Source organism: Homo sapiens, chromosome 17, assembly GCF_000001405.40.
Source record: "Homo sapiens chromosome 17, GRCh38.p14 Primary Assembly".
Taxonomy (NCBI): domain Eukaryota; kingdom Metazoa; phylum Chordata; class Mammalia; order Primates; family Hominidae; genus Homo; species Homo sapiens.
The window spans coordinates 82,266,425-82,282,907 of NC_000017.11; the positions used below are offsets into that span (position 1 = coordinate 82,266,425).

General features: G+C 54.3%; 1 protein-coding gene and 1 long non-coding RNA gene across 12 annotated transcripts in view, besides 4 other annotated features; one reads left to right on the forward strand and one right to left on the reverse strand.

Moving 5' to 3' along the window:
* The window catches only part of CSNK1D (casein kinase 1 delta), a 34,732-nt gene extending 27,406 nt beyond the window's left edge, over positions 1 to 7,326 (reverse strand). For 7 of the 9 annotated variants that reach the window (XR_007065265.1, NM_001363749.2, NM_001893.6 and 4 more), the window contains exon 1: positions 6,882 to 7,276. Coding sequence is in view for 6 of the 9 variants with exons in the window: in NM_001363749.2 (NP_001350678.1) it covers positions 6,882 to 6,957 (76 nt within the window). In the remaining 3 variants the exon portion in view is untranslated. Of the gene's footprint in view, positions 1 to 300; positions 5,679 to 6,881 lie in introns of those variants that run through there. The other 2 variants (NR_110578.2, XM_047435381.1) reach the window with 2 other exon arrangements.
* Positions 6,676 to 6,725: a silencer, noted in NCBI's record as "silent region_9204". NCBI's record gives its function as "represses an Ori minimal core promoter by ATAC-STARR-seq in GM12878 lymphoblastoid cells {active_cell/tissue: GM12878}" and the evidence as "EXISTENCE:reporter gene assay evidence [ECO:0000049][PMID:35858748]".
* Positions 6,776 to 6,965: a silencer, noted in NCBI's record as "silent region_9205". NCBI's record gives its function as "represses an Ori minimal core promoter by ATAC-STARR-seq in GM12878 lymphoblastoid cells {active_cell/tissue: GM12878}" and the evidence as "EXISTENCE:reporter gene assay evidence [ECO:0000049][PMID:35858748]".
* Positions 7,206 to 7,415: a silencer, noted in NCBI's record as "silent region_9206". NCBI's record gives its function as "represses an Ori minimal core promoter by ATAC-STARR-seq in GM12878 lymphoblastoid cells {active_cell/tissue: GM12878}" and the evidence as "EXISTENCE:reporter gene assay evidence [ECO:0000049][PMID:35858748]".
* Positions 7,354 to 12,019, forward strand: LOC124904089 (uncharacterized). Of its 3 annotated transcripts, none has more exons than XR_007065952.1 (2): positions 7,354 to 8,649; positions 11,463 to 12,019. It is a non-coding gene; the product is annotated as an uncharacterized LOC124904089 (long non-coding RNA). The 3 variants fall into 3 exon arrangements; XR_007065953.1 differs by having other exon boundaries at positions 11,466 to 12,019; XR_007065954.1 differs by lacking the exon at positions 11,463 to 12,019 and adding an exon at positions 11,307 to 11,434.
* Positions 10,277 to 10,776: an enhancer, noted in NCBI's record as "H3K4me1 hESC enhancer chr17:80234577-80235076 (GRCh37/hg19 assembly coordinates)". NCBI's record gives its function as "activates a minimal SCP1, AML or CMV promoter by ChIP-STARR-seq in primed H9 embryonic stem cells {active_cell/tissue: H9 hESC(primed)}" and the evidence as "EXISTENCE:reporter gene assay evidence [ECO:0000049][PMID:30033119]".

Here is a 16,483-nt window from a genome sequence, read left to right on the forward strand (position 1 = left end):
TACCAACACGCACCGGTCACACATCTTTCATCAGTCTATGGCTAAAACCAATGACACATCTAATACCATGACGATCGGACTATGAGTTTGGAGGCAAAATTACACTTTTTATCTAGAAATGTTCCATCTCTGCTTTACTCCAATAAATGACAAATGTGACAACCACCATCCCTCTCAGGTTCACCCACAAATGCTCCTGAGTTTGAATCTGGCCCAAAGCCTTCCCCAAATCCACTGCATGAGGCATCCAAGGAGCTTTAACCGAACAGGAGAGAAAAAGAAGCTGCACACAGTACATACCCAGCTCTCTCCTCTTCCCTCACGAGTCCCTTCAGAGTATAAGACACTGGAATCGGCCGGGCGCGGTGGCTCACGCCTGTAATCCCAGCACTTTGGGAGGCCAAGGCGGGCGGATCACAAGGTCAGGAGATTGAGACCATCCTGGCTAACACGGTGAAACCCCATCTCTACTAAAAATACAAAAAATTAGCTGGGCATGGTGGTGGGTACCTGTGGTCCCAGCTACTTGGGAGCCTGAGGCAGGAGAATGGCGTGAACCTGGGAGGCGGAGCTTGCAGTGAGCCGAGATCGCGCCACTGCACTCCAGCCTGGGTGACAGAGCGAGACACCGTCTCAAAAAAAAAAAAAAAAAAAAAAGGACACTGGATCCTTCCCAACAGCGTGGCTATGTGGAAAAGAATTCACACTAGCTTCAGCAGCCCAGACAAAGCCCTGGGAGACTTCCTTCCCTGAGAGACTGTGGTGCTGGGCAAAGCAACTTGGCTAGTTCTTAGTGACTCGGTTTCTCTTGTCAATGGAGATCAGTGGTGAGGTCTGACGTCTGTTTCATGAGAGTTGTGGAGATGAATGGGTTAACAGTTTCTTTTACTGCTCTTTAAGATAAGGTTCCCTGATGAAAAGCAGAGTAAGGTCAAGTGAGCACTAGAGCAGTCTGCTGATATCCACACGTCCACTGAACACCCAGGAAGCCCCTCGTCTGCCCAGATGGCGGCATGAGATGTGCCACTTCCAGCCTGGGCCCCAAACCCCTTGCCACTGCTGCGTTCCACAGGAATCGCCACCACCGGGTCACCGCCAGTGACCATTCTAGATTTAAGAACGTCACTTACTATCAACAGAGACTCTTCAGAGTACTCGAGGTAACAAATTTTGTTCTTCCTGCCTACAGTTGGGACAGTCTATCCAATTACAAGAGAAATGACTTCATCGAAAAATGTACTGTGTAAATGAAAAACCACTCTGAGTTCCTCTAAGGACCTGGACTCTGAACTCAACTCGCCAGCCGGGAGGGAGGGTGACTCATCCCACTAGTTATGTCAGCAGCTCCCTGCACCCCCAAGCAGGCGCAGTGCAGCCTCGGACAGTACCGCCACCCTCGCCAGCTGGCAGCCCAGTGACCCCATGGCCTGGGGCCGATGGCTTGGGGCCACACAGTCTGCTGACTAGCATCTCTCACTCCACTTCTCTGTAGCTGATAAAGCTAATGTCTGCCAGTCACACCTGCAGCACTGACTGTCGTGGGGCAAAAGTCATCACCAGCCGCTCTGGCACACAACACGAATCACACCCTATCATGGGGCCGGGACCTCTCGCTGTGCAAGCACACAGATGTGCAAGCACACAGAGCCAGCCCTCCTGTGGAACCGACACCAAGGTCGCCCCGAGTCTCTACAGGGGAGTAGCTGGATGCAGGTCCTGTACACAGATGTGAGGATGGCAACTCTCTGGGGCCTGCAGCAGGGACCTCGTCACCTGCTGGGCAGAAGCATCAAGAAGCAGAACACCAAGGTCTGTGCATTCCAAAGGCACCACCTGCCTCAAGGTCGCTGAGCACTGCTCAGACCCCCTGGCCTGCAGCCCTGTCCCACCTCGCCCACCGGGGGCACCCCCACACTCTACCAGCCATGCTGCTGAAAGTCAGATCCTCAAGCTGCCATCAGTGCACAAGGCAGCACAGAGGCGCTCAGTAACTGTGGCTGCAATCTGGCATCGCTGCAGCATTTTGACCTTATACACAAGTTTTGGCATGCAACAGGTTGAAAATTACAAGCCTGGTTCTTCACCACAGGTTAAATCCGAGAAGCACTACTAGAAGGGGAATGAGAATTTGAAAGACCCTGAGCCCTGGGTGTCAGATTCAAAACAAACCAAAACCTGGTGACACGCAGATCACCAGGTTGTCTGGGTTGTCTGTTTATACAAAAGACATTCTGTCAACAAAACAAATTCAACTCTTCCCTGCAGCTCAACAATCCTGGTCTGCTGTGAGACAGGGCTTTCCTCAGTCCGTGTTTGGGTATCAGTTAATGTTAGTCCTACAAAAACAAAATTACGTCCCTCAAGTTCAGCAGCCAAAAGCAGATGGTGGCCGGGTGTGGTGGTTCACGCCTGTAATCCCAGCACTTTGGGAGGCTGAGGCTGATGGATCGCTTGAGGTCAGGCATTCGAGACCAGCCTGGCCCACATGGTGAAACCCCGTCCCTACTATAAATACAAAAAAAATTAGCCAGGCATGCTGGTGTGCGCCTCTAACCCCAGCTACTCAGGAGGTTGATGCGGAAGAACTGCTTGAACCCAGAAGGCAGGGGTTGCAGTGAGCTGAGATCGCGCCACTGCACCCCAGCCTAGGCAACAGAATGATACTTTGTCTTAAAAAAAAAAAAAAAAAAAAAAAGCAGATGGTGAGTTAAGCGAACCTAACCAGAGTGTGGCCCTGTCCTGGCACAGGAGGGTAATTCTGAATTACCAGCCTGGATGCTGGCAACTCCCATTAAGGATTGTCTTGTCAACAAAAAAAACAGGGAGACGCCTTGAGCAGCAGGACAAAGGTCAACTCGCAGGGCAGCGGTCAGCAGTACCACGACTTCTCATTACAGATGCTTGAGTTAAGGAGAGTCCAAGGTCAACAGAGGCTACAGCCCTAACACTGCAGTGAGGAGACCCCAGAAGCTACAGGAAGAACAGGTGGTCGCTCTCCTCTCATGGCTGGTCAGCATCTTGGGGCCCTATTGCATACCAGGCACCCTGCAGGCTGCCTCTTGAGAAATCAGTCAGTGAGGGGAAAAACGTGTGCTTCAGAGATGAAGCAGTTAGCTCCCAAAAGATGCTTGTGCACATTATGAAGTCAGTCCATCCAGGTAACAGGTGGACAAATGGAGGCCCTGACAAGCTGATGGTGCGATGGGATCAAGTACAGATGCCAACAGATTCATCTGTCCAGCCCACCAGCCAGGTAATCCAGTCCTGCCACTAACCTCCAGAACACACTACAGGTGAGAACAGAGGCAGGACCAGCTGGGCTCTCACTGCCTCTCTGCATGGGCCGCCTGCGGGGTGAACACAGCAGGCCTCTCCCTCTAGCCTAGCCCAGCTGAACAGTCCTCTTCCGCCAGACACCCCTGTGGTTCTGGGGCTGGGAACTCATGGTCCACATTAAGGACACTGGCTGTTTTCAAATGTTACCAAGTTTATTTCCAGTGGTACTCTGCCAGCATAAGTGAAAGAACTTCTGGTTTATGGCCACACCACATGGACACGGATGCGGAGGGCGGCACAGGGCCGGGGCCAGGTCACACAACAGGCTGCCAAGGTGTGCGCTCCACAGGTGTGTGTGGGCTGTGTCACCTTCCCAACCTGCCCTCCTGAAGGGCCTTGCGGATCTGGCAATCTCAGACTGAAGACAGATTGTTCTTTTTGGGGTCCCACTTTCCAAAGCCTGGGCATTCAAGAAATAGCCCCAAAATACTGCCCCCTTTGAAGGGGCAATTTTGGAACACGACAACCTGGCAGGGCCCTGCAGTGAGCACCCGCCCTCCAACTGTCACAGCAGGGTCGGGGCAGGCAGGCCCACACCACGCTTCTAGCCCACAGGCACTCCACTGAAGCACAGCCTTCCCCCCTTCCTGGTCTCAAACATCTGAAAGCACAGAAAGTCCCCGGTAGAAAAACAAGAACCCAAAAGCCAAGCTCAAAGCAAGGTGAACCCCACCTGGAGGATACCAAAGTGACAACAGTAGGAATGGTCTTAACGATACTCATACTAGAATATACACGACACACAGAGGTCAAGATGAAGACCTAGTTCCTCGATTTATGTGTAACTGGCTGCCCAAACAAAACTATGGTGGGGATGACCGATCCATCTCATAGTCTTCAGATCAGCCATCTTTGACTCTAACTGCCATTCTGCTCAGACCCACGCTTCTTTCAAACTGCCTTACTCCGGCTAACGTGACCACCTCGCCTTTCCTCCGTGGGGTCGTCTGAAAGGACCACAGTGTAGGCTAGGAGCCAATGCTGATGGGAAAAAAAAAAATCAGCTGTGCCTAACCCCACTCAAGTAACTGGACGTGTACCCTGATGGGTGGCTGTCTGGGACGGCTGTCTGGGGGCTCCAACCCCAGGGTGTCAGAGCCACAGCCGCCCGCAATCCCGTATCCAGCATGACTGTATGCCCAGCGCGAGGTGAGGCCTGGAGGGTAGAATGCTGAGTGAGGAGACAGCCTTCCACCCTCCACCTCTGGAATTACTTGGTGACAACCACACCAAAATTTGTCTTAATCTATCTTTGGAAAGCACAAAGTTGTTTGACAAGGTCTCAGATCAGAGAACAGATAGTTTCAAAGTACTTCTTATTTATTTATTTTTTGAGACAGAGTCTCACTCCATCGCCCAGGCTGCAGTGCAGTGGTGTGATCTTGGCTCACTGCAACCTCCGCCTCCCAGGTTCAAGCAATTCTCGTGCCTCAGCCTCCCAAGTAGCTGGAATTACAGGCAGCCACCACCACGCCTGGCCAATTTTTGTATTTTTAGTAGAGATGGGGTTTCGCCACTTTGGCCAGGCTGGTCTCCTGACCTCAAGCGACCCGCCCACCTCAGCTTCCCAAAGTGCTGGGATTACAGGCGTGAGCCACCACACCCGGCCCAAAATACTCCTTTTTGATGCCTGCCTAAAGGTGGCTAATGGACTGGCTTTGCAGTGTAACTCAGATCCTGGGGTTAAAACTTTCGCCAAAATCCATTGTTCTATAAATAAGCCAAACGACTTCCATTGACCAAGCACTCTGACTTCCCAAACACTGCCAAGAACACATCCAGCTGACCACCTGGTATAAATGTTTAATAGCCAAACCCAAATGTCTAAAGCCTGCTTACTCAGCAGTCCACTAAGGCATATGTACAGGTTCAAAAGCAACAATATGGCATGTGACAGGGTCACCTGGCAGGTTAACCAGGCACCGAAAGTATGAGCCACCCATATGTGTGGATTCGTCCTAACGCTGTCAGCCCACCGGGTCCTGAGTCCTCTCTCTGGTGACAAGTGGGAAGGGTGTGAGAACTGGAGACTGTCCACATGTGGCTTCATCTAAAAGGTATGACCAGAGGCATTACTGACATCCCAGGGGATTCCTGACCCTAGCTGACAGGTGCCCCAGTTAAAACACACCCCAAAGCTAGGGCTGCTGGAACAGAAAACAGCTCCCCTCAAAGGTCTGCAGCAGCCCCTCTGCAGGCACACCGCCTCAGGCTACATATCCTCAAATTCAGGGGATCTTGGAATAACTCGTGCATTGCACAATCCCACTAACAAGTGCGGAAAATTAAGTTACTTTAAAATTACAAACTTGGGCCAGGCGCGGTGGCTTCCCAGCACTTCGGGAGGCCGAACTGGGCGGATCACTTGAGGTCCGGAGTTCGAGACCAGCCTTGACCAACATGAAGAAACCCCGTCTCTACTAAAAATACGAAATTAGCCAGGCGTGGTGGCGCACGCCTGTGATCCCAGCTTTTCGGGAGGCTGAGGCAGGAGAATCGCTTGAACCTGGGAGGCAGAGGTTGCGGTGAGCCGAGATCACGCCATTGCACTCCAACCTGGGCAACAAGAGCGAAACTCCGTCTCAGGAAAAAAAAAAAAATTACAAACTTGAAGATTTAAGCCAACCTTTCATCACACTTGTGTTCACGTGCATATTTTTCCATTGTAAATATGACACAACCCAAAACCTTCTAATCCCATTGTTTTTGAAATCTACCTTGAGACTGTTACAGTCTAAAGGACACCTCATGAGTACAACTACCTCATCTGCCTCTCATCTTGCCAGCATCTTAATCCTGTGTGACTTTCTCTACATTCACCTAAACTTAACCCTTGCTCATTTGCACTCAGTCACCGCTCCAAGGCCAAGGGGAACCGTTCAGAGAGAACCCCCAGCGGGAGGGCAAGCCCCACTCCTAGCCGGGCCACTCCCCCGCTCCACACGGCATTTGGGTCTTTCTGACATTTTCCCCCACGAATGCAAGACACCGGGGCAGCCTCTGAGGGGGCAGCCAGACAGCCCCGGACCGGGCTGCGGAAGAAAGAGCGTGGCCTTTGTTTACTGCGGTGACCTTAGGCGTAGAGGAAGCCGACGCCCGCTTCGCGGCCCCAGCCCTACCCCCTCCCCTCCCACGGCCCGCTGCCCCCACCCCCGCCCTGCCCCTCCCCCAGGCCCGCCTCCCCACGCCCCACCCAGCCCTTCCCGAGTCCGCTCCCCACGACCCTGCCCCTACCCAGGTCGGCTCCCCAGAGACCATGCCCCACCCCGGGTCAGCTCCCCTATCCCCTCCTTCCCCAACCCTCCCCTCTCCAGACCCTGCTCCCCCGACCTGGTCCTGCCCCTCCCCCACGTCCGCTCCCCACTGCCCTCCCCACCCCTGGCCGCGCTAGCCTAGTGGCCGTTGGGTTCTGGCCACGATCCGGCGGTGCCGGGACTTGCGCGGAGACCCCGCGGGGGCCACCACTTCCTTCCGCGATCGCGCTTGGTCTTGGCAGCCGCAGGGCCCGGGTCTTCGGGCGGCGGGCGGGGGCGGCGGGGCCTCACCGAGATAGATGTCTCCGAAGGAGCCGCTGCCGATCTTCCGGCCCAGCCGGTACCTGTTCCCGACTCTCAGCTCCATGGCGGCGGCGGCCCGATTCGCTCCTGCCCTCCCGGCCGCTTCCTGGGTCTGAACTCTGGGAGGCGGCGCCGCTGCTGCCGCTACTGCGGGTCCGGCTCCCGGCTCCGCCCCCCTCACGGCCCCGCTTTCACCATCGCTTTCCTGTCGCCCCGCCGCTCCCAGCGCCTCAATACGGGGCGGATGGGACAGTCCGAGCGCCGCCGCCGCTGCTCCGGCCCCTACCGGTCCCGCTTGCCCTCTCCCCGCCGCGGATGGACTCGGATCTTCCGGGCCTAAATCCCCTTTCAGCTGCCTAAAGGAGCCGCCGCCATCGCGCTGTGACGTCACTTCCCCTAGCAACCCGGCGGGGCGGGGCCGCGGCGCTCCAGGGGCGGGGCCGGGCGGGGCGAGCGCTCCAGGCCTCCTCCCGACCCTGCGCCGTGCCCAGCCCCTCTGCCCTCCTGTTACCCCGGGACCTCGGGCCGCCAGCCCCTTCCACGTGCAGGCTCCTGCTGCTCTCGCGGGGGCTTTTCGTGTGTCCCCCGAGATGTCGAGGAAGCCAGGTGAGTTCCTCGCGACAGGCGGTGCCCTTTGCAGGAGGGGACAGGTAGCTGAGGCGTGGACAGAGTGACAGGCCAGGCTCAGGGGACACAGGTGAGACCCCCTCACTGGGCTGCCAGTTCCCGGGCTTGGGGCATCCCAGTACGTCAGCGTCTGCGGCCTTACCTCCTGACACCTAAGGCCAGAGACAGAGCAGGCCCGCGCCCTGGGAGGTCCTGATGTCCAGCCTGAAGATTGAGGACAAAGCCACCACCTTTCACAAAATGAGGCCAGACCACCTGCCTCCCTCCAGTCCCTGCGGCCTGGAGACGGAGTCAACATTCTTATCTGTGTTGGATCTGAATGTTCCTCCTTGCAAAGGAAACAAGGAGTGGACGTTCAGGCTGATGGCCAGCTTCAAAGATCGGGGCCTTTGATTCCCATCACTGGGAAGAAAGCCCTTCAGACAAGCCCCCCCAGGCTGCAGGTGCATGGGGACCTTGAAGAACCCGTCCCCATGGTCCCACGTCCATGTGTCTCGAGACCTGTCGCATCCTCGCTGAAACTCAAGAATGTGAAACAGGTGAAGGTGTGTTTTGACGCATTAGCATACCAGGGCTGTGGTGTGGGCACCGCCGTGTGAGTGAGACAGCAGCCTCAGCCCGTCCAGGTCACTGCAGAAGAGGAAAGCAGCCCCCACAGGCCCCACAGTGGTGCTCGCCTTTCTCCACCCCCCAGTCTTTCCTCTCCACCCCTCAGCTCCAAACAGCTGGAGGTCAGGTCGGGGAGACGGGCGTCCATTCCCGAAATTACATAGCAGGGCCTGGAGACAGGAGATGCCGCCGGCCAGACCACCATCAGTCACTAATGAGGGATGGGCAGTCGGAACTGCCCAGTTTCTGAGTTACAGAAGCCGGGGGTGGGGGGCTGCCAGACTAGTAAAACTGACCTTGTTGGCGGAATCGCTCACGGCTTTTCTGTTGATGAACAGAGTCCAGCTCTCCCACGGGTGGCTGTGATCCTTCTTCCTGGGGAGTCCTGCTGTCCCTGACTAGGGGCACCTGCCCACCTGTCAGCTGCTCCTCCCTCGGCTGGTCCTCCTGGGCTCTGATGGCCCCAACATTTCTAGCTCTTCTCACCCATAGTGCCCCAAGCTTCATGCAGCTGCGGCAGGTACTGTGCCCGTCTGCCTGGCTTTTGTGTGTTTGTGTCTTGACTCTATAACCCGTGCACACGGACTGGGCTGTGGTGTAGTGGGGATGGCAGGAGCCCTGGGAACATGCGGGCTGGGCAAGGTGAGGCAGGCTGATTGCTGTGGCTCCCCCACCACCAGCCCCAGCCACAACAAACTGACAAAGGAAGAGGACAGTGGTACCCTGGAGCCCTGGGGTCAGAGAGAGGAGGACAAAGCAGGTGTGTAGCCCAGGGAATGACAGCACCCCTTCCGAGAAGACAGGGAGGGTGCAGACATGGCCAGGTTCTGAGCTAGAAAACTGTCAGCAGGGGGCTGAAGCTGAGGATAGTCATTGCCAAGGAACAGCCTCCGTCACAGAGGAGACGCACAGATGCGGTGACGAGGGAGGGATGCGGGGCTGGTGACCGCTGGGAACGGATGTGTGAGGCAGAGTCTCCAGGCATGGTCTGTGGGGCGGTTTGATGATACTAGAACATCTCAGAGTAGAAGGACGTCCCGACCTGCAGACTGGAAAGCCCCCAGAGCTCCCGGCAGGACGTATGAGGGCCAGCCCACACCCAGGTCTGTCCTGATACAACTGAACGCCACAGTGTCTTAGCTCCTTTACTGTTGCTATCAAGAAACACCTGAGGCTGGGAAATTTATGAAGAATCATGAGGTAATTTGTATATTTGTCCACACTAAACCTCATGTTGAATTGTAAACCCCAAGGCTGGAGGTGGCTGGGTCATGGGGGTGGATTTCTCAGGAATGTTTAGTACCATCCCCTTGGTGCTGTCCTTGAGATAGTGAGTTCTCCTGAGATCTGGTTATTTAAAAAGTGTGGGGCACCTCTCTCTCTCGCTCACTCGCTCGCTCGCTCCTGCTCTGGCCATGTGACGTGCCCGCTCCCCCATTGCCTTTCACCATGATTGGAAGCTTCCGGAGGCCTCCCCAGAAGCTGAGCAGAGGCCAGCACCATGCCTCCTGTAAAGCCTGCAGAACCAGGAGCCAAGTAAACCTCTTTTCATTATTTATTTATTTATTTATTTATTTATTTTGACACAGGGTCTCGCTCTGTTGCCCAGGCTGGAGTGCAGTGGCGTGATCTCGGCTCACTGCAACCTCTGCCTCCTGGGCTCAGGTGATCCTCCCACCTCACCCTCCTGAGTAGCTGGGACTACAGGCACACGCCACCATACCTGGCTAATTTTTCATATTTTTTGTAGACATGGGGTCTTACTGGCCCAGACTGGTCTCAAACTTCTGAGCTCAAGTGATCCATCCACCTTGGCCTTCCAGAGTGCTGGGATCACACGCATGAGCTACCATGCCGGCCCTCTTTTCTTTTAAAATTGCCCAGTCCTAAGTATTTCTTTATAGCAAGGCAACCACAGCCTAACACAGCTCACGATGCTGAGGTCTCAAAAGTTCAAGATCGGGCGTCTGCCTCTAGTGAGGGCCTTGCTGCCGCTGCCTCCACTCATGGCAGAAGGTGAAGGGCAGCTGGAGTGTGTGCAGACCGTGTGCGAGAGGGAGCTGGAGGAGTAGGGAAGTACAGGCCTTTTTTTTTTTTTTTAAGATGGAGTCTCGCTCTGTTGCCCAGGCTGGAGCGCAGTGGCGCAATGCCGGCTCACTGCAACCTCCGCCTCCCGGGTTCAAGCGATTCTCCTGCCTCAGCCTGCTGAGTAGCTGGGATTAGAGGCATGCGCCACTATGCCCGGCTAATTTTTGTATTTTTGTAGAGACGGGGTTTCACCATGTTGGTCAGGCTGATCTTGAACTTCTGACCTCGTGATCCGCCCGCCTTAGCCTCCCAAAGTGCTGAGATTATAGGCATGAGGCACCGTGCCGGCCGTGCAGGTGTTTTTAAAAGCACCTCTTGCTGGAACTAGTAGGAGTGAAAACTCACTCATTACTAAGAGGACAGCACCAAACTGTTCGTGAGGAATCTGCCCCCATGACCCAGACACCTCCAACACTGGGGCTCAGATTTCAACCTGAGGTTTGAAGGGGACCAACACCCAAACTATAGAAACAGAGAAAGAGGAAAGTTTACAGATACCCATTTAGAAAGAATCTGCTAACAAAGGGAAAGAATCAGGCTGGGCGCGGTGGTTTATGCCTGGAATCCCAACACTTTGAGAGGCCAAGGTGGGTGGATCACCTGAGGTCAGGAGTTTGAGACCAGCCTGGCCAGCATGTGAAACCCTGTCTCTACTAAAAATGCAAACATTAGCCAGGCGTAGTGACGTGCACCTGTAGTCCCAGCTACCCAGGAGGCCAGGCAAGAGAATTGCTGGAGTTCATGAGACAGAGGTTGCAGTGAGCAGAGATCCTGCCACTGCACTCCAGCCCAGGCAACAAGAGCGAGACTGTGTCTCAAAAACAAACAAACAACAACAACAAAAGGAAAGAATCAGACTGGCTTGGGACTCTGCTGTCCCCTGCCCGTGACCTCCCAAAAGCGTGTGTTAGAGACTGACCTGCCTAGTGCGTCAGTGGAGGGGGCACTTTGGAGAGGGGCTTGGATCGTGAGGCCCCGCCCTCGTGAATGGCTCAGTGCCTTGTGAAAGGGCTTGATGGAGGGAGTTTGGTCCCTTTTCCCCTTTTGTCTCTCTGCTGTGTGAGGACACCATGTTCCTCCCCTCTGGAGGATGCTGTAACAAGCTGTCATCTCGGGAGGAGACACCAGGCCCTGACCAGACGCTGAACATGCCAGCACCTTCATCTTGGACTTTCCAGCCCCCAGAACTGTGAGAAATAAATTTCTGTTCTTTATAAGTACCTAGTCCATGGTGTTTTGTTACAGCAGCATGAACAGACTGAGATAGCGGCTTACATGTAACCGGAAGCTGCAGAAAAACATCTTCAGACAGCTGAGACGGCTCCCAGGACTCGTGCCTGGCACAGACACCATCTGCCTGGCAGGGCAAAGAAAGGCGTCTGTGAGTGTGGGAGGATTCCGAGTCTAACACCCTGAGCCCAGCCAGGAAGGGGCCAGGAAGGCCTCCTCGTGAACAACGAATGAAACAGATCCCAGATCTCAGACAGGGCGGGGAAGGGGAGGGGTACCATGTCAAGCAGCACTCTGTGTAAGTCGGCACCTGCGCACACTTGCATGCAGACGTGTGTATTGTGAGTGTATGGACATGTTAGAAATGGATGTGTGCATGTGTCTGCATGTGTTTGTGCATTTATGCACAGACACTACACGGGCATGCACATCATGTACGTATATGTTTGCATATGTGCACGTGTGTGTACGTGCATGTGTTCGTGTGTGCATGCACACAGCATGCGTGTGTGTGTATACTTGCATGCATGCTAACATATGGTGGAGAATAAATAATGATCACCTCTCTGGAACTGGGGAAAGTAAGTGTTAAACAGATTTTCGACAGGAAATGCTGCTGCAAGGAATTCGTCCGTAGGCTAGCACTACAACCTGGAGGCAGGGAGCAGTGAGGAGTGGAAGTCTTCCCATCAGAAGTGAGGAAGGCTGGATACGGTGGCTCACACCAGTAATCCCAGCACTTTGGGAGGCAAAGGCAGGAGGATCACTTGAGCCCAGGAGTTTGAGACCAGCCTAGGCAACTTAGCAAGACCTTGTCTTAAAAAAAAAAAAAAAAATTTTACAAGGAACTACACAGATGGCAAAATTAAAAAAAAAAAAAGTGGGAAGAGGGGAGAAAGGGAGATCAATGTCTTCTACAGATTTCATCTTATCGGGTGGAGGGTGTGAGGAGTAGAGCCACGTGGTGGGAAACTGTTGGTGTCTTGTTTGCGAATGACTTTGGAACAAAGACCACCTGATAAGCACAGTTAAGGAAGGAAAACACACAGGGACTTCCCAGGGAGCCAGGAGGACACTGGGGGAGCAGGAACACCTGCCTTTCCCATGGGGCCCTGGTGTGCCCAGCCCCCCACTTCATGTCTGACCCACGTGCTCTCCGGCTGACCTCCTGGGACTCGCACCTGGCCCCCACTTGGTATCTGAGCCACGTGCTTCCCGGCCCTCACTTGGTATCTGAGCCATGTACTTCCCGGCTGACCTCCCGCAACGTGAAGACTACTCTCGCTCCCTTCAAGGCCACTGTCCCCACCGCAGCCAGAGAGGTGTTTTATAGTTCAAATCCTGCCCAGGCACCATCTTGTCTAAAGGCAGCCCTGAGCCGGAATCTGTGTGCTTTGCTGATGGGACTGTAAAATGGCGCAGTCACTTTTGAAACAGTCTGACAGTTCCTCAAAAGCTTAAACATAGACTTACCACATACCCAGCAATTCCACGCCCAGGCTCTGCCCCAGGAGAATTGAAAACATCTATCCACACGGAAACTTGTACACAAATGTTCACAGTTGCACTATTTATCATCATCAGAATGCCTATAATTGATGAACAGGTGAACAAATTGTGCTATATCCATATAATTAAATATTATTCAGTCATAAAAAAGAATGAGGCCGGGTGTGGTAGCTCACGCCTGTCATTGCAGCACTTTGGGAGGCCGAGGAGGGCGGATCACAAGGTCAGGAGATCGAGACCATCCTGGTTAACACGGTGAAACCCCGTCTCTACTAAAAATACAAAAAGAAATTAGCCGGGCGTGGCAGCGGGCACCTGTAGTCCCAGCTACTCGGGAGGCTGAGGCAGGAGAATGGCGTGAACCCAGGAGGCGGAGCTTGCAGTGAGCCGAGATTGCACCACTGCACTCCAGCCTGGGCGACAGAACGAGACTCCATCTGAAAAAAAAAAAAAAAAGCAGCACATGATGCTCAGCAGCAGCAGAAGCAAGTCTCAAAAGACCATATACTGTGTGAGTCCATTTACACGGGATGTGCAAAATAGGCAGATTCATCGACAGAGACCTTGGATCGGCGGTCCTCAGGGGCTGGGTGGGATGTGGGGAGTGACTGCTAATCGGGAGGGGGTTTCCTTCCCTTTCGAGACGGTGAAAATGTTTCAGAACTAGGCAGAGGTGAGGGTTACATAATATTGCGAATATACTAAAATGAACTGAATTGTACACTTTTAAATAGTTAAAATGATGAATTTTGTTATGTGAATTTTGCCTACATTTAAAAAAAAAAAGGCCAGGTGCAGTGGCTCACGCCTGTAATCCCAGCACTTTGGGAGGCCGAGGCAGGTGGATCACAAGGTCAGGAGTTCGAGACCAGCCTGAGCAAAAAGGTGAAACCCCATCTCTACTAAAAAATATGTAAATTAGCCCGGCGTGGTGGTGCGCACCTGTAGTCCCAGCTATCGGGAGGCCGAGGCAGGAAAATCGCTGGAACCCGGGAGGCAGAGGTTGCAGTGAGCCAAGATTGTGCCACTGCACTCCAGCCTGGGCGACAGAGTGAGACTCCGTCTCAAAAAAATTAATTAAATTAAATTTAAAAAAAACCCAACCTAGGCAACTAGTGAGACCTTGTCTCTACAAAAAAATTAAAAATTAGCCAGGTGTGGTGGCTCACGCCTGTAGTTTAAGCTACTCAGGAGGCTGAGGCAGAAGGATGGCCTGACTACAGGAGTTTGAGACCAGCCTGGGCAATATGGCGAAACCCCATCTCTACAAAGAATACAAAACTTAGCCCAGCGTGGTGGCGCGTGCGTGTGATTCCAGCTACTCTGGAGGCTGAAGTGGGAGGATTGCTTGAGCCCTGGAGTTTGAGGCTTCAGTGAGCTGAGATTGCATCACTGCACTCCAGCCTGGGCCAGAGCAAGACCCTGTCTCAAAAACAACAAAACAAAGAGGCTGGGCACAGTGGCTCATGCCTGTAATCCCAGCTACTTGGGAGGCAGAGGCAGGAAAATTCCTTGAACCTGGGAGGCGGAGGTTGCATTGAGCTGAGTTCACGCCACTGCACTCCAGCCTGGGCGACAGAGTGCAGAGCGAGACTCTGTCTCAAAAAAAAAATAATAAACCAAAACAAAACCCAGAAACAAAAACAACCACCAAAACCCATCAGGTAGCCCTGAGTCCAGAGCCAACTTCAACCACCAAAACCCACCAGGCAGCCCTGAGTCCAGAGCCAAATTCAACCACCAAAACCCACCAGGCAGCCCTGAGTCCAGAGCCAACTTCCTTGCTGGGTTAGAGGTCCTCACCTCCTGCCCTCCCCGCAGGAACCACTTGCAGCTTCCTGAAGGCATCAATGTCACCCCGCCCCTGAGCCTGGGGGTGATGAAGGTGGATGAGCCAGCCCTGCACAGGTGAAGGCCACTGACAGCTGCACAAGGGGGGCTGCGGTTTGCAGCTTCCAGCAGCTTCCAGGGGGAGGGGACCTCAGCCCGATGAAGGATGCCAGCGTGGAGGTTCCCAGGTGGGACCTGGGGGTGGTATTCCAGGAGCTAGAGGCAATATGTGTTCCTGCGTGTGAGCATGTATGCGTGTGTGCATACAAGTGTACATGTGTGTGCACATGTGCATGTGTGCCCGTGTATGTGTGTGTGTTCATGTGTGTCCATGTCTGTGTGTCTGTGTGTTCATGTGTGTCCGTTGTGAGCATGTGTGCATGTGTCCATATGTGTGCGTGTGTGCCTGTGTGTGCATGTGTGTCCGTGTGTGCCTATGTCCGTATGTGTGCATGTGTGCCTGTGTGTTCCTGTGTGTGTCTGTGTGTGTGTGTGCCTGTGTCCGTATGTGTGCATATGTGCCCGTGTGTGCATGTGTGTGCTGTGTGTGCACGTGTGCGTGCATGTGTGTCCGTGTGCATGTGTGCATGGGTGTCCATGTGCACGTGTTCACGTGTGTGCATGCATGCATACATGTGTGTGCGTGTGTGTGTTGGGCAAACCTCTCACCCACCTGCTGGCCAAGGGTAACTCTAGGAAGTGCTGGGATCACCCAGGGCTGGGGTTAGACAGGTGCACAGGTAGAGCTGAGGAATTCAGCCCTTCAGGTTCCCAGGGCTCCTAGCCAGCACTGGTGACTAATTGGGCAGAGGCGAGCAATGCCCAGCCCACGCCAGGAAGGAACGGAAGTGAGTTCATGTCCCACCTCCCACGACTTAACCCAGGCACAGACGAGGCCACCACGAAGGCTGGGACTGTAATGAGGTTGCCCTAGAGGTGCCCTGTGCAATGCGGCAGCCGCCAACCACGTGTGGTTATTTAAATTAATTAAATAAAAGTAAAAAGCAGTTCCTCAGGCTCCTAAGCCACATTTCAAGTGCTCAGTGATACTCGGAGTGCTCAGGGCTGCTGGAGACCAGTGGTCTGGACCAGAGGTGATTTCGTTCCCCAGGAGATGTGGCTGCCGCCAGAGAGAATGGCCTGGCCATGAGTCAGTAGGGCTGAGGCGGAGACCTCCTACCCCCTGCCCCAGACCCAGCCCTGATTTGTGCCCTGGCAGCATCCAGGGTAACAGCTGGCTATGAGGGAGAGCTTTCCATGCATGTGGCTCCTGCCATGCTGGTTTACCTGGTCAGGTGAGGGTGTGAGCCTTGAAGAAGCCAGGTGGGAGGAGGGTTTGATTGCGCTGGCCCTGGGTAGGGCTAAGGGTGGCCCACGTCTGTGGTCATGGCACGGCAGGGGGCTGCATGCCCCTGATGGAGTTGCTTCCCATCAGACATTTTGAGTCCTGAGCTGGGAACCTGTTGGGGGTGGAACCTGCCCCGTACCTGGACCCTCACACCTTCTCCCACCTAGCCCATGAGGTGATGGGCCATCTGGGCTGGGTGTTGCCCCAGTTTTTGTGTCCAGAGGTTTTCCAGGGTTCCCAGGCCCAGCCCTGCGTCCCTGGCTCAGGAGCACCCTCCCTCAGCCCTGGGGCCCGTCCTTAGCTCGGCAGCCCTGGGCAAATCGTGTATCCCCTAGTCAGCTTCTCCAGG